This window comes from Homo sapiens, chromosome 3 (genome assembly GCF_000001405.40).
Source record: "Homo sapiens chromosome 3, GRCh38.p14 Primary Assembly".
NCBI classification, from domain to species: domain Eukaryota; kingdom Metazoa; phylum Chordata; class Mammalia; order Primates; family Hominidae; genus Homo; species Homo sapiens.
In genome coordinates this window covers 73,566,876-73,587,660 of record NC_000003.12, presented here as the reverse complement: position 1 = coordinate 73,587,660, position 20,785 = coordinate 73,566,876, and the positions used below count along the sequence as shown (strand labels likewise).

The following is a 20,785-nucleotide window of genomic DNA, read 5'->3' as shown; positions in this document are numbered from 1 at the left end:
TTGGAGATTAGAATCCACTATAGAGAGGAAGAATTCTTTCACTGCTAAAACTTCAGAGGCAGGAAGATAAATATTAATGTTACTGACCAGAAATTGGGGAATCCCTCTTTGATAAACAAACTTTTGTTTGTTTTTATACAATTCTGAAAAACTATACTATCTTTATACATTTGTAGCTATTTACTGTATGTACATTTGTCCGTCGTGCGGCCTAAGCATAGATGTAAGTATGACTCAAACAGCAACTCATTCTACACTGTTCTTTGAAAGAGTATTCTGCAAACTTTTTTGGTACTGACCTACAGTAAGAAATACATTTTATATGTGACCCAGTGCAGCACTCACAAATGTAAGTGAGCCTGGGATGTATGTATAAAAATGGAAAAAAAGTTTCATGCGAGATATTTACCCTTACTGCATACGGTGTAGTCTGGTATTGGTATTTTACTCTTTTTCTTCTAATGCCATTTGCCACTCACTACATTGATTTCATGGCTCACTAAAGGGCAGTGGCCCACAGTTTGAAAACATTCTGCTTTGGAGGATAGGGCTGTGCCTTCGTGTTAACAGCAGATGTCTTTCTGATATTGTACCCTGGGGTCTGTTGGATCTGCTCATGGCAAAACTAAATCAAACCTGTTGCAAAAACAATGGAGTCAAATTTGATATTAGACTATATTTGTAAAAATAATCTCCTCTTCCTGTCACCTTTCCACTTATGAACTTCTTATTTGAGGCAAAGTTCATGGGCCCTGCACTCCATCAGCAGTTGGATGGCATTAACTGGTGGTCGTTTGCATCATCATAGACTTACCACAAAGGGACATAGCTCCAGCCTTTGGAGGCATAACTCATTTCTAAGTGTGTAGCTTTGGTGTGCAGGGTAATTTCATCTCCAGTTGAGGAGATTTGTATCAGCTTGATGTTTGATGGGGATGCTTTGTGTGGCATGTGTGGTGATTGCCTGCACTCTGGATTCTGGTAGGAAGGTAGTAAGTTACACCTAAATAGGTCTCTGAATCCAGCATCTCTGAGACCCCCCCGGTGAAGTGTCCCTGTGAGGTTTGCAGTTTGTTAGGAAAAGATCAAGGAAGGCCCTGCTTGAGTGTAAGCTCTTGAGAGCAGGGACACATTGATTGTGCTCTGCACACCGCATATTCTCAGTACTAGCACCATGCCTGGTACAGAGTATTCAATCAGTAAATGTGTGTTGCCTGACTCCGAAATAGATGTACAAGTCACACAATCAACTTCTGAGGGTAAAACTGCAGGCAGTCTAACATTAGAAGTATTCAGGGCAGGTGACAGTATGTCATGAGGCCTTGGGGACATTTGATACTTCGACAACACCTCCTGCAGACAGGTGGAATCTGCCAGCTGTCCATACAGGAATAGCAGCGGGTTAAAATAGATATCTCTCCCAGTGCCAGGAGGAATTTAGGAGTAAAGAGTTCCTTTCTTTAGAAGCAGGGGAATGAATGGGGTTGCCAGAGGGAAATCGTGAGGAATCCCTGATTTTGCTCTTTTTAAAAAATATAAATATAAGGGTATCATAAGAAAATTAGGAGTTTAATTTTTGGTATGCCACATTGGGTTTTGTAAAATCTAAACTTTAAAAATCTGCATTTATGAATTCCAGTATTTGTATTTCAAGTAAACCTTTTTCTTAGTCCTGTTTAACAATAAGACTTAGGAAATTGTGTTATTTCTGGTTAACTGGTTCCATGCAAGACAGTGTAAGTTTCCTTTAGCAGTTGTGCTTTTTGCTTATGAAGGTGCCAGCTTTGCCACCATTTTTGGAAAATATTTAACATTGGTCACCTTTGTCCTGTCTTCCTTCAATGACTTGGATCTTATCTGCCTGTCAAAACCCGTTTTGGCAACATAAAATCAGTAGCAACTAAGTTCTGGAAGATGCCTTTGCTGACACCTATTTTGAGTGTGCCATTTCTTCGATGGAAGTTTAGTCACTGTTGTTGTCACAGAATTTCCATCCATCTTCCAGGAAATAATTGCTTTGCCACAGCTGCTTAATTAAACTGAATTCTCAGTGAAGCAATAAAACACAGTGGAACTTTCTGAGGGTTTCTGGGGGTGTGGGGGTGCGGCAAAGGGGTGGATGCAAATGAGGGCATTAAGCAAAGGCCTTGAGAAAGGTCTTCATGGCTTCCTACCACCAGGCCACAACCTTGCTTTGATGAACAAGATGATGTTTAAAGCCTATTGTAGTAAACAGATTTATTTTACCTTTTTATTGTTAGCTATCTGCCAAAATGTTCATTTGTGTTCTGTGCTGAACTAGTGAGAAAATGTGACAAGCTGAAAATAGAGGAATATTCTCATAGAATGACAGTTATGCTGAACCCAATGTAAATCTTAATATAAACGAAGAGACCAAATAGAAACTTCCTAATAGACATTTCTGATCTGTTTTTCTAATATCATTTGCTAAGAAACTTTAAAACTTGAATTCCTAAACTTTAAAATGGTAAAACTAAGGGCAGCTATCTTAGTTTTTGCTTTAAACACTCAGCCAAGAAAGGAAACTAAAATTGTTTAGAGTTAGTGGGGCATCTGCTTATGTGTTTATATGCCAGCCAATTTAAAGCTGAAATGTTATCTCTTCAAAGTGGAGGCAGCCTGGACTCACATTAAAATAGTTTATTTTGAAAAAAAATTTTTTTAAAGATTTCTAAAGGAGTAAAGGAGAAGATAAAACCAGTGCAGTTTCTTTGTCCTTTTGGAGTGTTAGATGGCAGAAGTCATTCAAATGGATGTTTTTAGTGGGTGATATCCCAATTACAAAAGTTAAAAAGATAGTGATAAGCTCTCTGCATACTTAGCTGCTTATGTCAAAATATATTGGTAATTTTGAGTGCATTTAATGTAGCATTTTGCTTAGCTTGGTATTCTAACAAGAATGAACATATTAACTATAGAATGCAACGTAGCTTTTGTATTTAGAGAGACTGCCATGGAATGCTGTTAAGGACATACCATAGTAATACTAGAATCTAAATCAGAACACTAGAGGAATCAAAATAACTGTTACAAGTGACTTTAAAACAAACAAAAAACTAGGTAGTTTTATTAAATTTAATTAATATTTTCTCTGTTTTCTAAATCAGCTTTTATTTTCTTATCCACAACGCATATGCATACACACACACACACACACACACACACACACACACACACACACACACACCATTAAATGAAGCACCACTTAACTTGTGCTGGAAATGTAGCCACTTAGTTGGACAAAACTTGTTTTTAGCACTCAAGTTCAACTCCAAAGTGAAAGGGTCTGTCTGTCATTATCCTGTTTCCTGGATGGAAGTGGTTATTCTTCTCTATTGATCATTTTTTTCCTTTCCTTCCTAACTTAACCCCTGTGCCACCTAAAGTTCAGTAGTAATCTTGAAAGATGCTCCTGTAACAAGGATGCCAGATTCTGCTCATTAAGAGCATTGAAGTAAAAGTCGCAAGTTATAAATGGCCTGCTTTTTTTTTCCTCTTTTTTTTTTTTCTCCCCTCATTTACCACACTAGACAGAGGGAATGTCCTGGCCTTGTCAGAGAGAGAAGAGAACTGCCCTGGCATTGGAAGGGAAAGCACAAAGCTAATTGTTGGTGGCTTCATGTTACAGACCACCTAGGAGACAAAGTTAGAACTTGACATCATTTAGACCTTATTTAAGGAAACTAAAATGCCATTTTCATTTAATTTAGGGAATACTGAAAGTGGTGGTAGACACCTTGCTGAATGTCTCTGGAGATTGGAAATAAGCCATTTTTGCTTGATGTTAGGGTTGCCTAGTAGGTTTAATAAGCTGGTCATGGCATTCCTGTGAGCAGAGTCTAAGGTGGGATCAGTCCTTCCATCATACGTTTGTGAGCTATTTGCTATCATAAGTTGGCCACTTTGAGGGTGGACTCCTACAGTGACAGATTGTGTGAGGTACTGTGGTTTTAGGTGAGTACAGACCAGAGGCCATCCTGTGCTATTTTACTTGCAGAGTTTTCTCCCTTCCTGTTGTTAAATTTTGTTTTGGGTCCTGAAGGTGCTTATGGCTGCCATGTTTCCTTGGCAGAGTGTGACCAGATGGACACATAGGGAGAATGGGAGGAGGGTGCAGAATATCACAGTGGGCTAGTGTTGGGTATCTAGTGGAGTTCATGCATATGTTCCCAGGTGAAAAGGTCTGGAAACCAGTGCTGAGAATATCAACTGCTAGCCTGAGGCTATTTTCGCCATATAGTTAATCTGTTACTACATGATCCACAGAAGTGCTTATGTAGGAAGAATTTACTTCCATAAAATTCTACCTCAGTCGTAGCATTGAGCAGCAGTATGTATAGTGGATAAGGGTAAGCTAGCTGTGTGGGTTTGAATCCCAGCTCTGATATTTTTGCTACGTAGCCTTGGGCTAGTTCCTTAAATTTTCTGGACCTTCATGTTCTTGCCTGAAAAATGAGCACGACAGTTTCTATCTCATAAGGTAGGTGTGCTGATTTAAATGAATTAATAAATCTTAAGATGTTAGGGGCTGTTAGAAGAGTTCTTAGTACGTAGCAAGTCCTCAGTGACATTATCACATTATGATTATTGATAGTTTCCATTGTTGAGTGGCTCCTGTATGCAGTTGAGTACATACACAATGAGCTCAGGCAGTGAGTTGGTCCAAAAAATGCAAAAAATGTAAGGCTATATCAATAGAAGTATCACTGAATAAGCTGGGGTCACATCCATGTGATGAAATAGTATGCATTTATTAAAACCCGTGAGTTATATCTGTGTCTATTGGAGGAATGGGCTGTTTCCTAATGTGCTATTTCATTTCATTGTCCCCACAACACTGCAATAATACATAGTATCATTCTCATTTTACAAGTGACACCACTGAGACGCGGGGTAAGTGCCTTCTCAGAGGTCACACAGCTGACCATTGTGGATGACAGGATCCAAATCCATATCTGGCTCTGTGTGCTTTCCTTTATGCCACATTTCTGTCCAGCCAGATCCCATGCCAGTGGATAGTTGGAGCCTCATTAAGTTGTTGGAGCCTCTTCGAGTGAACAAGTATATACAAAACTGTGTGTGTGTATAAACAATAATCATCATAAAAACATTTAGCCAACTGTATATATATATATAAAATATACATTTTGTTTTAAAATTTATTTTTGTTAGTATAGGTATAGGAAGTATTGAGAATTTGTACACAGCAAGTTGCCAGCAGTGGCCTATCTTGGTGAGTGGAGTGGTTTCTGAGATTTTTGTACTATAATGTATAGTTCATTTTCTTTAAAAGAAATATTTTATTCAATGCACCATCCCCCAGATTAAAATGTTTTGTGGAGTTGCCACAATCATTGAAACAAGACATTTTAAAATAAAAAAAGACAAATCTACATGTGCCTTCCTCTCCTTTTCTTCTTCCCATACCCTGAGGTAAGCAGTTTGCAGCCCAGCACAAAGCCTTCCGTAGCCTTCTTCATGATTATACAAAATAGAAACACATGTACACATATGAGATGTCGGTTTTTCTTTTCTTTTTTGAGACAGGGTCTCATTCTGTCACCCAGGCTGGAGTGCAGTGGTGTGATCTCGGTTCAGTGCAGCCTCAACCTCCTGGGCTCAAGTGATCCTCTCACATCAGCCTCCTGGGTAGCTGGTACCACAGGCACGTGCCACCACACACAGCTAATTTCTTGTATGTTTTGTAGAGATGGGGTTTCACCATGTTACCCAGGCTGTTCTTGAACTCCTGAGCTCAAGCTATCTTCTTGCCCTGGACTCCCAAAGTGCTGGGATTACAGATGTGAGCCACCATGTTCAGCTTTTTTTTTTTTTAATCATTGTCTTTACACAGAAGCAACCCTCCTGTGCTCATTTTCCAACATGTTTTCTGTAATAGCATATTGTGCCCATTCCATCAATAGATACAAATATAACTTACTGGTTTTAATAAATGCATGATGTTGCATCATATGAGTGTGAGTCCACTTTATTCAGTGACAGTTCCATTGACAGAGCCATAAATAGTTCTGCATTTTTTTGGACCTACAAGCAGTACTGTAATAATGTCCCTCTACCCATTTCCTATAGTCCTGGGACTCGGACTCCAAGAAGTTGAATGTATAACATACACTCATACAGTTTTTAAAATTGTATTTTCCACAATAAGCAGATATTTCTTTATAATCAGAAATCTTAAATAAAATAGAAATGAAATCTTAAAATATAAATAACTAAATCATGCGTTCACACCCACACACAGACATACCCACACAAATTCCAAGGCTGGTTATTGAAAGATGTGTCTTCCAAAAGTAGAGTCATGTTTATTCAAAGACAAACATAACATAGTTGAGTGTGTATGTTCACAGCATGGGGAGTGTTTAGTGTGTTTTAAAATATGAGGAAAAATAAAAAACATCATAAGCAAACCATCAGTTCTCTTTGAGAGAAAGCTGCTCTCACACACAGGTGATTCTTTCCATGAAAACTCCAAAAGGAATGTTGCTTATGCTTTTGCATAGGTCTGTTCTTCTTATGTAGGAGTACATCTGAACTTTAGAAATTTACATTTGAGTAAACCTCAAACTCCAAAATGTATCCCTCCTCCCCAAAAAGGGACATTTTACTGAAATAAAATCTGTTGCTGGTTGCTTCTGGTATGTTATGTCAAAGTTGTTAACCGGATACAGCAAAGGCAGCTGCATTGTATTTCAGAATTAGTTTGAGGTAGATTTTATTGTTATAAAGCAAGACGCAATTGAAGCCACACTCTGGGAAAATAGCAGTAACACAAAACATAGTAATTTAGGCAGAATTACTCAGCCACAGATGTCCAGAGAGGTATAGGAAAAGGTCCATATGCACTTTTTGTAGGCAAACAAGTCAAGGTTAAATAAAAGCCCTATTTTGAGTCTTAGGCTGGATGTCAAGAAATTGCCTCACAGGTGAAACAGGTCCAGCCACAGAAGAGGCTCTGTTGTTACTTGAGTCACTAAACCATTTGGATGGAGGCCAGTGCAGCCTTCTCCTCTTTATGTCAAGTTCCCATCTGTAGGAAATAGTGCCTATAGTGCCTGGTGACATCACAGGATCACTTTGAGTCAGTGGTGAGTAAGGCATAATGCAAAGAGTAATGGGAAACACTCTACACTTGAGAGAATTCAGAAGAGCAGGGAAGATGCTGGCGTGTTTGCCTCTCTGGCTAAGCCAGCATGGCTGTGAGAGCTGGCTGCACAACAGACAAGAGGCCTGCGTTATCTCTCAGCTCAGATTCTTTGTGGTTTGGGAAAGACAGAACCCCATAAGGATCTGAGGAAAGTTATGGATCTTCATGCCAAAAAATTTACATTCTCAGAGGCTCTCATCCTCTCTCCCTCTCACTTGTATACATACAATTTCATGGGACTTGTGGACTCCTTGGGACCATTCGTGAACCTCTGTTAAGAATTCTTAAGTTCTTTGCAGGGTCCTAGACAAAGCTCTGAAAATTGATATTTTTCCTCAGTGAAGATCAACTCAATCCTAAAATGGATTTTCAGTTTTTCAGCTGAATAAATCAACACCCATAGGAGCACTTTACAGAATATGGAGACTTGGGAGTCTGAGGTACCAAATAACATGGAAATGATAGGTGGAGACTTCTTGGGGATGTGAAAGGCCTTCCTTTCATGGGTTAAGTTCATCGGGAATCATTGCTGCTTCGGTGAGATTTGAACTTACACATTTTTCTGTATAGGTCTGAAGGAGCTTAGTCTAAATATTATGTAAATATGACCCCATATAAATATATATACACACACACACACACAGAGACACTCCATACATAATGGGATAGATCCCATGGAGCAAACCTCAACAGTGGTGCCGTGATTTACAAAATAACCTCTCAGTTGCACCCTTATTACAGTCAGATCCTCAGTGGCGGGCTTCTTACTTCTCTCAGAGTGAAATTCACTCTTACACAGGGGCAACTTGCAGTGTGCCACATTCAGAAAAGCTCTTTAAAGTGTAGTCCCTGTCATTTACAAATGTGGGCTAATTCTCAATACCTGTCGACCTCTATGTTCTCATCCAAAATATGGAAATCATAGTAGTACTTTTAAAATAAGTTTGTTGGAATCTGTAAATAATAAAACAGTGTAAAGTATTTGTAAGGGCCTTGGCATATCTAACACGCTAAATAACTGGTAACTCAAATTGATTACTCTTTATGATTATCTAGCAGTAGCTGTTTATTGGCTTTAGACCCCACAGAGTAGGACTACCTTTTATCTATGTAGGTTGTTATAATAAAATGCCTTAAACTGGGTAATTTATACACAACAGAAATTCACTGTTCATAGTTCTGGAGGCTGGGAAGTTCAAGGTCAAGGTGCTGACATATTCATTGTTTAGTAAAGGCTGTCTGCATCAAAGATGGTACCTTCTTGCTTTCTCCTCACATGGTGAAAGGGGCAAGGGAGCTCCCTTGAGCCTCTTTTGAAAGGGCGCTAATCCTAGTCCCAAGGGTAGAACCCTCAAGACTTAACCACCTCCCCAAGACCCCACCTCTTAGTACTATCACGTTGGGTATTAGAGTCCAACATATGAATTTGATGGGGACACCAACATTCAGACCAAAGCAAGGACCTTCCAAAATCAGTGCACCTTGGAAAATTTTTGTCTTCAGATATTACTGAGGTAATTTTAAAAGTCTAGGGAGTAGGGACCGGCTAAGAGGAACTGTGTTTAACCATGTAATACTCTTTTAGCAAACCAAGTGCCTGCGTAATTTTTCACACAGTTCAAGAATGGAGAAATAATTCTGTCCTAAACTCTTTCCACTTCATTAGCTGAAATGTTCACATTTCTCATATCCAAGCAGAAAGGGGGGCAGGTTCCTCATTGGTCCCTAAAGCAAACTTGGATTAATGGCTCCTATTAATTTATCTTTGAAATAAGAAAGAAATCCTGTGGATCCCCAGTGTATTGACAGATTTTTAACACTTTACCCATAAAATCAATCAATCTCTCTCTTTCTACCCCTTCTTGCCAGGCTTTTACTTTTTGTCACTCATTCTCCCTTTCCTTTTCATCAAAACATTTTGTCCTAAAGGAATCTTTAATTTCCTTTTCCCCTATGTAACGGGAACAGTTACAGTAACTAAAGGTACCTTGAAAGAATGGTCGGCTGGGCGCGGTGGCTCACACCTGTAATCCCAGCACTTTGGGAGGCCAAGGCTGGCGGATCACGAGGTCAGGAGATCGAGACCATCCTGGCTAACACAGTGAAACCCCGTCTCTAATAAAAAAATACAAAAAATTAGCCAGGCATGGTGGCAGGCGCCTGTAGTCCCAGCTACTCGGAGGCTGAGGCAGGAGAATCGCGTGGACCTGGGAGGTGGAGCTTGTAGTGAGCTGAGATCGTGCCACTGCACTCGCACTCCAGCCTGGGCAACAGAGCGAGACTCCGTCTCAAAAAAAAAAAAAAAAAAAGAATGGTCAAAGACCATATCATAAAGGATCCCAGTAGTAAACAAATGGCACACTTAAGATAGGATCCATCAGAGAGTTTAGTAAAAGGACGATTTTCAAGGATATGAGAAGAGTGTAGGACAGAGATCGGCAAACTTCTGTAAAGGGCCGGATGGTAAATATTTTCAGCCTTGCAGGCCATGTGGCGTTTGCTTCAACCATTCAACTCTGTTGCTCTAGAGGGAAAGCAACCATGGACAGTACCTAAACAAACAGGTGTGTCTTCCAGTAATATGATTCACAAAAAGAGGCTTTGGGCTAGATCTGGCTCCAGGGCCATAGTCCATTAAACTCTGGGGTACAGGAAGAAGAGCATAGGGCAGTAACTGGGCTAGTAGCAATGCTGTGACCGGCCTTTGGCTTGAAGGGCAGGAGTGGAAGGAGGTACCAGAACCTAGAAGAAAGGCAGTCTGTGAAGAGGGCTGTCAAGACAGGAGCTGTGCACTCTGGAGAGAGTGCTATCAAGAGACATCCCACAGGAAGGAACTTTGGGGCGGGGCACAAATCTAGGGCGCATTTCTCCTCTCTCCCTTGGTTTTCCTCTGCTGTGCCCCATTGACTGGTCCCAGCTAGAAGCCAGGGAGCGAGGGAGACCAGAGAACCATTCTATACAAGGTATCCTCCCTGGGGACAGAGAGCAGGGTGGAAAAAGGGAAGCTCTCTGGCAGGAGGAGGAAATGAGATATGGCACACAATGCACTTAGCATGGATTCCCCAGGTACCAAGGACTCTTGTTATTTATTAATCCTTGTCATCACAAACATCTGCGTCTCTGATTACGTGTGGGGTTGCAATGTAAAACATAAGTGAGTAAAGGGAGCATGAGTAGAACTTTCCACAGAGATCCAGTCACAGCAGAAGCTAGTCATGTAAGGGTTTCTCATCCCTTGGGTTTATCAAGCTTTCCTTTAGATTCATCGTTCTGAAAAGTTGCTTTTGGAAAGACATTACACCAAGCTCTCAATTTGGGTTTGAAAGCTGGGAAAAACCCTCTTTGCTAGAATGAATGAATGAAAATTGACCTCTTATAGAATGATTCATCAACCATGCATGAGTGAGCGACTCCATTTAGAAAAGTATTAATTTAGTCATGTCCCAAAACATCACATCACATTGCAGATTAAGGTCAGCAAAAATGAATGTTTTGACAACCCTGTAATCAGTGCTAATAGAAGCATTGAAAATAAGTGTCTTGAGAATGTGGGTTGTGCTTGATTTAATGTGTTATTTTTTTTTTACTTATTCTAATTTAGTCTCATTGTTTCTCCAGAAATTTCACTTATCTCTAAGACTTTGACTTCTTTGTCTATAACTCTAAATGTATAGTAACACACACCAACAAGATGACAGTTCTGTAAAGTCCCACTTTTTTAGCACACAGGGTAGATATTCATGTCTATCAACAAGTGTATTTAGGCAGTGAATTCAATCATGCAAAATTGAAAAAGGCAAAAGTTGGATGATTTCACCAGGCTCTTTAAGAAACTTGTGTTTGGTGGTGATGCTTGTCTTGAAAAGATAAATTTCCTAGTACTTAGGGGGACTTAGAATTCTACTTGCATCACCCTGAAAACTTGTTTCTCTACCTTTTATATAGCTGGGATCACTGATTTTTTTTATACAGAAAGAAAAAGTACATGTAAAGTCCCTGCTAAAGTCAGGCTATGGCATTCTTCTTTGGCACACTGGAACCTAGAAACACTAGCAGTTGTCTTGACTCGTAGATTGATTATGGGACACATAGGTCTTGAGGATGCAGTTTCACTCGGCCTATATCACGTATATAGATATCAGCTTTATATCAGCTTTAGTTTTGAATGGCTTTGGGTAACACCTCTAATCATATATCTAAACTGTGTTATTTTAATCCATCTCAATTTAGACCTTATTCTCCCATCCTTAACACTGGATAGAGCTCATTTCCTCAGTTTGGGGTAGTGGAGGGTAAAGGAAAGAAGTTGGCAGAAAATAGGCAGCTCCGTATGCCACTGTGCATATGTGTGTGTGTGAGAGAGAGTATGCATGCATGTGTGTAATTTCTTCCAAAGGACATATAATGACTCCCTGCAGAATGATAGCAATATAACAGAAGATGACTTCGCTTGATTTTTCTCTCTTTTTCTCCTGTCCTCCTTTCCTCATCCCCCTGCCCCTCTCTGTCTCTCTTTCTATGATATTTCTCCTGAACTTCCAAATTGTGTGACTCTAAGTTTTGGCAGTCAAATATACATTTGTTAAGAGGCTTACTGCTTAGGTAATATGCAAAAATTGGTTAGATCACCATAAAGAATCATAGGAAAAATTTAAAAACTCAGGGATCAGTTAATTTGGTCTCCTGTTTGTCTAATGAGAAAACAGAGGCATACAGAGCTGAAGAACCTGTTCCCATTCCGTCATCTGATGGCTGCAGAGTTGGGACTAGAGCCAGTCTTCATTTGTCGTCTCTACAACACAATGCAGGTTCTTTCTATAATGCCCTTCTCTTTCTTCTTCTGAACTTTCTTGGATAAAGTTCACATTTGTCTATAAGCATTTTTTAAGCACACCTCACATTTTTGTCCCAACTGTAAAGTAAACATTATGAAATTTGGTAGTTAACTTTCTATTCAATTTGACTGCTGTTTCTCGCGTTTCTACTTGAGAAGGTCACTGTGTTTGATCAAATTCTGGGAGAAAAAGATGAGATGAGGCTTCTTGGAGCAACTTCTTCTTGTGTGGTGCTTCACTGAGCTTGTGGCACATGTTAGTTTGGAAAGGAGATTTGCCTTGAAAATGGGGTCTCTGAACCTTCTGGGAGGGATAAGGTAGTACAGTGGAGTTGGTCATGCAAGGATGGCTCTTCCAGGTTCCAGGCACCGACGTGAACTGCAAAAAACACACATACTGTATTTGCTCTATAGTTATTTGTGAACTTCTCAAGAAGTACCTGTGTAATTATAAACCCCTGTTCTTCCTTGTCAGTACAGTATAATGCTGCTTACGTTCATTACTTCTTTAGGCGATCATGTTGAATTACAGAAATACTAATTTTTGTGATAAACATGAAGTCCTTTAGAGCTTGGGGATTTTCTGCTGTATTAACTTACTAACTTTTTTATTTTTAAAAAACAAAACATCACTTTGCTCTCTTGTACAACACTTCAAAGGAATGACACCTTATCAAGCCCTTTGGTGAGCTGAGAGATATAAAACTCGGTTATATTTGACAGCATGCTCCAATAGGACTGTGCTGTAAATGAAGGGATTGTTTAGCACAGGGCTGAACTGCCAGAGACGGAAAGGGGCTAGATGAGGGGGGAAGTTGAATTTGTTGTAAAAAGCACCTTCTTATCTTTTAGATTTAGTCGATACTGGTTTCTGCCCTTTGGCTAAGTTTGCTGTATTAAAAGTGCTTGTTCCCCCTTTGGGAGGCCAAGGCGGGTGAATCACTTGAAGTCAGGAGTTTGAGACCGGCCTGACCAATATGGAGAAACCCCATCTCTACTAAAAGTACAAAAATTAGCCGGGCGTGGTGGTAGGCTCCTGTAATCCCAGCTACTTGGGAGGCTGAGGCAAGAGAATTGCTTGAACACGGGAGGTGGAGGTTGCAGTGAGCTGAGGTTGCACCAGTGCCCTCCAACCTGGACAACAGAGTGAGACTCCATTTCCGCCCTCCCCACCCCCCCCACCCCAGCCAAAAAAAAGTGCTTCTTCCTGTGAACTCATTGACTTTATTTCTGTTTTTAAAGAAGTGTTGTGAGGGGAGTGGCTAAGAAGGATTTCTCAGCTATACCAGCTCACTCTGCCTAATTACCATGGTCAAGTACTCAGTTTGGTTTTATCCTAGGGCAAGTTCTCTTGATGGTGAGAAGATTAGCAGTCAAGAGGCTCCAAGAGAGGGGTTAGAGTGTACTTAGAGGACAGCCTTTGGCTTTAGAAGATAATTGATGTTTGACATTTTTTCCCTTTGTAGGCTGAGTGTCAAATATCGGACAGGGCGAGAGCCCCCTCATTAATCCTGACAACTGTTACTTCTCTGTGATGTTAGAATAAAGGGTATTTGCCCTTTTAATGTCAGGCCTTCTTGCCTCCTGCAAACCACTCATGTCCAGAGGATGTACTAAGAAGCTAGCTGCATGCTTTTCCAGGCAGCTAGAAGTTTGCATATATGGCAAGGCAAACTTGGCCAGCTTATCTTGAATGGGATAGAAACACCCTTCTATATTTGCTGTGAATTTTTTTTAAAGTGGTACAATATGGGTTAATGTTTAGAGCTGACTATGGTAAGGACCGTATATGTATATGTATATGTATATGTATATGTATATGTATAGGTGTATGTGTATGTATATGTATATGTATATGTATATGTGTGTATGTATTTGTGTGTGTGGCTATTTTTAAAGCCTGCTAAAGTATTTTTGGTGGACTTGCATAGATTGGGAAAAATGAAAACCATCTCTGACGCTCACCTTTTACAACTGAGGTATTACCATAGAACGGGCGTTGGCAAACTTTTCCTGTAAAGAGCCAGATGGTAAATGTTTTCAGCTTTGGGGGTCATGCAGTCTTTGTTGCAGCTACTCAACTCTGCCATTGTAGTGTGAAAGCAGTTACAGGCAATATGTGACTGGATGAGCATGGCTTTGTTCCAATAAAACTTTATTTAATAAAACAGGTGGTGGGACAAATATGACCTGGTGAGTGACGTGTGTTAACCTCTGCTAGAAAGTTCTACTGCTTAAATATAGCTCTGGCTTTGTGGCTAGATTTCATCTTAGAGGACACTTTGCCCCTCACTTTGCCTCCTCGTCTTCCCAGATGCCACATTGCAGATTGTCACTTGCTACAGTCTGTAACAAGAACATATGATTCTGGGTGCTTTATATATACTCTGTCTTTCCCTGGCAACTGAAGGCCCTGGAGATCTTGCCTAGCTGTTGATCTGCTCTGGGGTCCTACCTTAATATGTTCTGGGGTCTTGTCTTGCCAGAGAGGGTCACTGTAGGACCTCAGAGAGGCCCTTGGGACAGGTAAGACAGATCAGCATTTCAACAGATGACCCCTGGTTTCCAGTCAACTATCAACAACCAACCTCTGTATCTTATTAGAGGCTCTGAGATAAGCCTTAATTCCGGCACACTGTGGGACACAAAAGAGCCTAAAACCTCCCTTTTGCTAATGAGTTGTGTGTTATTTTCTCACTTTATCTCAGTTCTCCAGCCTAACTGCTCCCGGAGCCATCTTTTCAAAATTCCAACAATTTTTTCCAAGTTTCCCATTAAATCATTGAAATCCAAATGATACATATGCATAGTTTTCCCAAATGCAGGAGGGAATCTGCATTTTTTTATTGAAAAAGGGAGGGGGCACTCTTGCAAAATAAAGCTACTCCCTCTGCCTCATCCCTCTTGGCTTGATGTAATTATTTCTCTGAGTATCTGATTTGTTGCTGTCTCTGGACAGTGCTGCTCCTTTTTTGTACTGCTGTCCCACTGCTTGCAGTGACTCAGGTGTGCTTGGAACAAGGACGCAACCAACTGTGGTTGAATTATATGCACCCTGACAGCCGGAATGTACAGTGTGATTTATGGGAGTTGTTCACACAGAGATCCCCAGATAGCCTGGTTTTCTGACATACATGTGAAGTTTTAAGGCCCAGGGTAGAGGAATACACTCCAAGGAACCAATGGATGCTAATGACATTTCTAAGCACTGTGATGAATCGATCCAGGACTTTTTTATGTCAACTTAGAGTATACTGGAATAGAACACAGCATTGGATTTCCATAAAACTGAGCTAGCAGCTAGAAGTTTAACCACATGAACTTTGTTACTTTGGAAGAGCTTATTAAAATCTCTGAAAGAGGGAGAAGAGATAAAGGAAGAAAACCAATCCTTGTGACCACACATTAAATGGGTCAAAACTTAGCAAATTCACAGCCCGGGCAAATGGATTTAATGGTTTATTTTTATCAATATTTTACAATAGAATTTGAAACAAGAATGACTTTGGACACCTGAATTCCACCTATTCACTCCAGCTTGCTTTTCTTTAAAAGAAAGGTACCAAATGAAATGATTTTTAAGACCTTTTTTTGCACTGAATCAACATTTTGTTGTCACAAACCTGATTAGATTTCTAAAAAGTATCATACTGTCCCTTGCTCAAGTTAAGTACAAAATTGCCTAGGAAATTTTTTCTAAACCCAATGCCATGTTCCATTCTTTACCCTGCCGTTTCCCAGCCCGAGGATTGGAGTGAGTGGAAAGTATGTTCCTGTTTTTTCAAAACGGTGCTCGGGACACATTTGTGACCACACCAGCTTCCATCTCACTGCCACTTCTGCTCTTCCGGTTCTGAGCAGCCGTCTTAGAGGTCAACTCTTGGAGCAGTCTGTTGATGAGGTGAGAGCCGCCTGCTCAGGGGAGATAAAGGTAGAGGTCTCCAGGCTCTTCTCTGGGGGCAGGACTCTCACCCCGGCAGCTGCGGCTTTGATTGAAAAGGTATGTGGCCCTCTGGAGCTGACTTCAACCAAATGGCATTGGTCTTTGAAAAATGTACTTTAGCACAGCCCCTGTGGAACGTGTTTACTTAAGGATTTTACCCTTGCTTTAGAAGTGAGAATGTGACTACAGCTGGACTGCCCCTCACTGAAGGCATTTGCTGCGAATGTGTCTTCTGCTAATATGTTTAAGGATCTATAATGAAAACAGAGTCATTCTGAAATAAAAGGACATTGACATAAAAAGCAGTAATGGTTGACGCTATCTGTTTTTGAAGATAAGGGTTTTGTCACAAAGGCACGATTTATGGTGGGAATACTGAATAGCGGGAGTGTGGCAGGTGATAAATCACTGTTCTCACCACTGGATATGGAGAAAAAAGGGATACAAAGACCTTTTAAAAATAGGAAAAATAAAAGCACTCCAGGGCATGTAATTTTATGGAAAACATGGTAGAGAAAGTACAATAGGACTGAGATTGTATGTTGTTGACTGAAATGTTTTAATCTCATTTGGAGGAAAACCATAGTTAAGGTAGATTTTTGTAAAACTGAATCGTCAAAAACTTAGTCCATACACTGAGCAGCATATAATCATGCTTTTTAATGTAGGGCTTCCATGGTAGCTATGATGGTGATAAAAATCACAATCTTTCTCTTCTCTTTATCTTGTGCACAAGTTTTCTTCTGCCCACAGCCAGGTAGATGAGAGCAAGCAAAAGCAGATGTATTTATAGGATGTTAAGGGCAAGAATAAAACTAATACCTTAAGAGACTTTTTAGGAACCTCTTGGAAGGCATGAGTCCAGGGAGGGGTTACAGAGTCTGGGGACCTCCTGGGCACCTTCATCCTCCTTCTCCTCCTCCTCTTTTCTCTGTGCTGCTGGAAACCTGATACATTGCCACATGGATGGGGGCTCATACGGGCCACCATTGATGCTTCCTTGTAGATGGGAAGGCTCTGCTCCCGGATCAGTCAAAATCAAGGGCTAGCTTTTGAGGAAACCTGAATCTAGGCAGCCGGTCATTTGGAGCAATAGATTATCTTAGAGAGGATTCCTTCTCTTTTAGAGGACTCTATGAATGCATAATCCCATCAGTAAGTGAGCATGTGGGTTAATGCCGCATTTATTACATATCTGGGGATATGTCAGGTGCAGGTGTGAGGATTCCTGTGCCACATAGCAGAACACCAAAAATCAATTCAAGAAGTGTATTCATACGCAGCCTTTACTTTTTGGCCAGTACAAAAGCAAGTGAAATATGCCGGTAATTGTTGCCATAAAATAGCAGTTCATAGTCTCACATTTTGTTAACATTCGTTGTCTCTTCTAGATGTATGCCTCATAAGTTAGTCAGTATTCGTTTGTTTTGTCATTCATTTATTTGTTTTTTCATTCATTCATTCATTCATTTGAGAAATATTTGAGACCTTCTACATGCCCATTGTTGTCCTTGGTGCCAATACACAGCAGAGAAGAATACAAGAGTCCTGCCTTCATGCTGCTTAATCCTAGTAGGACAGAGCCAGGCAGTAAGCGAGACCAAATATATAATGTGTCAGCGGGGTAGTATAAGGGCTTGGAAGAAAAATGAAGCAGGGTAAGAGAACAGAAAGTAATAGAAGGCTAAAGGCTGAAATGGCATCATTTTCTCACCCCCTCTCAGGAGTCAGTGTCACCCAACTCCTGTCTGCCTCCTGCCTTTTATCCTAAAAACAGCCCTGTGAGGGGGCAAGCAGGACTGTCATTTCCATTTACAGATGATGAAACCAAGGCACAGTGTTTAAGAGATGGCCAAGATGGCACAGCAGGTAGATATCAGGTCACTCAGAGCCCCTGTTCTCAACCCCTCGAGAGTTCCTTCTCTTCACCACTGCCAGCCCTAGTCCAGCCCAGCGCCTGGACCTTTGGCCAGGGGTAGGCTCAGTGAGTGCATGTTTGAACCAAGGCACTGTGCTAAGCACTAGGGAGGAAGAGAAAGGTAACCTCAGGTCCTGCCTGGAGAAGACCCCAGACACAGGGCTGAGGTTTGGCACAGGGCTGTCTGTCCTCTGTGTCTGTCAATGTGTGTGCGGGTGTGGGGGTGGGAGGCTTCTGAGAAAGCTTCACTGAGGAGCAGCTGATCTCATTGCAGAGAAGAGGAGAAAGGCATTCTGTGCAGTGGAAATTGTCAGTGTAGACGCCTCGGGGCTTAAGAGAACGTGACATGGAAGAGACAGGAAATATGTACTCTTGTACAGGTATGCGGCACACATGTGGCCCCCTCCCTCCCAGCCTCCTCACTAAAGATTATTAACCTGCTTATTCTCCTGGTTCACCTGAGGCTGTTTTGAGAGAATCTCAGTATCTCAGTCTTCATTTCATACGACATTCTTCGGGCTCCTCTTGTTCATCTTTGCAGACTGAAGTATTTATGAAGGACCTTCAGAAATCTGATTCCTCCTGATGAATCAAAGAGTAAAGAAGAATCAAACATGATTAACCAGGTGAGGCAATGTGATGAAAAGGGGTGTGTGATTTAGAATAGGTGAGCTGGGTTCAAAGTTCAGCTGCAGCACATACTTTGGGCCAGTTATTTTACTTCATAGGACCTCAGTTTTTTCATCTAGAAATGGGAATAATGATACCTACCTCCTGAGAGATAAAGGGCAGAACAACAATTTCAGCAAGGCTCTATCATTTCAGTTATCCTTCCCTGCTACAGTGCAAATCTCTCTTAAAGACTGTAGGTCTGGCTTCCGTGAATCAAATAGAAACAGTTACAGCATAAGCCTGGGCCACTGTGTTGCCTTGGGATATGCATATCACCTGTTTTAATCCCAGGATTTGACTTTCCTCCTAGTGCTGTGGCTGATTATTTAATTTTTAGATAATCATGTAGCAAATATCATGTATTAGAAGGTAGGGCTATAAAAAGAGTATGCCACAAACAGAGTTTGGTTGTTGGCCAGCAAGTCCCAAGCTGCCTCTGCTGCCATGTGCTACCATATCAAGCGAGTTGCCCGGGAATCCCCTGCTGACATCGGTCTGTCTCACATGCGTGATATTTGGAAGGTAGTTTTGGTGTGTATTTGTGTTGATCATTATAGTAATGACATGCATTTACCACAGTTTTGTAGGAGAGCGACTCTCAGCTGTGGTTTAGAGACATAGCCCTTTGGATCTCCAGGTATCTCAAAGGCTGTAAAACTTCTCAAGTCAAAACTAGTTTTAATTTTACTGCTTGAGAGATGCAGTATGAAACATATGACAGCAATGAGTGTCTATTTCTGTAGCAACTCAAGCCACCTGCTTTTTTAGGGGAAGATTTATAATAAAGGCACATAACTATAGGGCTTTTAACCTTGATTTAAAAAGAAAAAAAAAGACTTTCCTGTTCATTATCATATCTAGCTCTGGGGAGATAGACAGGTTAGTGATGATCTGCACCATTTTACAGATGAGATCCCTGAGGTGGCTTGTGGCTTTGGTCCAAGAAGCCATTTATTTTTGATTGCTGGCTTCACATGGCTCCTCCCTTGGCTGGCTCCTTCTTATCCCTAATCCCCTATCTTTGTTGCTTGTCTGTTACCTATCAAAAGAAGCCATGCCTGATTTCTCTATTGGAGGTTAAACTGCTTTTCCCACCTCTGGTTTCCCTTCAACTCCTTATTTATTTCATTATCGCATTAGCCACTAGTTTTATTTCTTGGGTTTTCAAATGGTAATTATTATTTAATTTTATTGATTAGTCTGTCTCCAGCATTAGAACAAAAACACATAAACTCCATGAAGGCAAGGACCCTATCGTTGTATTTCTGTTGCCCTAGGGAGGTGCCTGACATACCAGACACCCTTTGTTAACATGTTTGGAAGGGAGATAGAGGCTAAGTTTTAAAGACTAAGCTGATCATTGAGTTCCTATGTTCCAACAGTAGGAAACGGACTGGAGGAAGGCTGTTTGAGGTATGAGGATTATTATAAAAGGACATTTTTACAAATGAACCAGGTTTAGACTTCAATATGTGTAGAGTTCTCTGAATCATGTCTGGCAGATAAATAAGACTTGCTTTTGGGGGAGTTTTTTCTAATTCAGTGGGCTTTGAATTAGAAGGAATTCCAATGCTTGTTCTTGTTCTGCTTGAGTAGAATTGATAAAATCTGTTAATCATCAGTTTTGCTTTAAACCCTTGAGGAATTTTTAAACTTTGGAAACTCAGGTCATGATTTTGAACTTTTATTTCTAATAATGTACCTGGCATTTTTTTAAAAACAGATTTTGTTACTATTTTTTTAGATCATTCTCATATTCACATATAGTTTGAAAGTCTTGTTCCTAAATCTCCATTTGACAGATTGTAGAGTCCAACATATGCAAATAATTAAGGCATTGTCTGCTCGATGTGGAAGTATCCAGGAAAGTTATGAAAAGCCCCAGGAAGGATAGATGTCCATGTTGATCAAACTACCAGATTCTTATAACATGTTGCTTTTACATTGTGTCATATGGCTGAACCAGAACAATTCTGTTCTGGATGACTTTTTGAGGGCATGTCTAATAACAACTAGGTTTTTCTCTTATATTTTTCCACTGGGTCAACTCTATTACTTTAGATATTTGGGGCTACAAGTAATAGAGATTTCAAATCCAAATAGCTTACACATATTATTTTAGGTACAAGGACAGGTGATTCCCAGGTTAGTGAGTAGAGGAGCTGAGTGGCCTTGTCAAGGATCCAAGTTGTTTGTGGTCATCCTTAGCATGTTGGAGTAGTCTCCTCA

At 40.6% G+C, this 20,785-nt stretch overlaps 1 protein-coding gene and 1 long non-coding RNA gene across 4 annotated transcripts in view; one reads left to right on the top strand and one right to left on the bottom strand.

Moving 5' to 3' along the window:
• The window catches only part of PDZRN3 (PDZ domain containing ring finger 3), a 242,511-nt gene that overhangs the window by 37,281 nt on the left and 184,445 nt on the right, over positions 1 to 20,785 (top strand). Inside the window, exon 1 of one of the 3 annotated variants that reach the window (NM_001303139.2) lies at positions 18,146 to 18,510. The exons of the other annotated variants lie outside the window; for them this stretch is intronic. Within the exon in view, the coding sequence (NP_001290068.1) occupies positions 18,499 to 18,510 (12 nt within the window). The 5' untranslated portion in view covers positions 18,146 to 18,498. Of the gene's footprint in view, positions 1 to 18,145; positions 18,511 to 20,785 lie in introns of those variants that run through there. 3 annotated transcript variants of the gene reach the window in all.
• LOC101927296 (uncharacterized) overlaps positions 17,887 to 20,785 on the bottom strand; it is a 48,453-nt gene continuing 45,554 nt past the window's right edge. Inside the window, exon 2 of the long non-coding RNA NR_121660.1 lies at positions 17,887 to 18,466. This is a non-coding gene — a long non-coding RNA (uncharacterized LOC101927296). The remainder of the gene's footprint in view (positions 18,467 to 20,785) is intronic.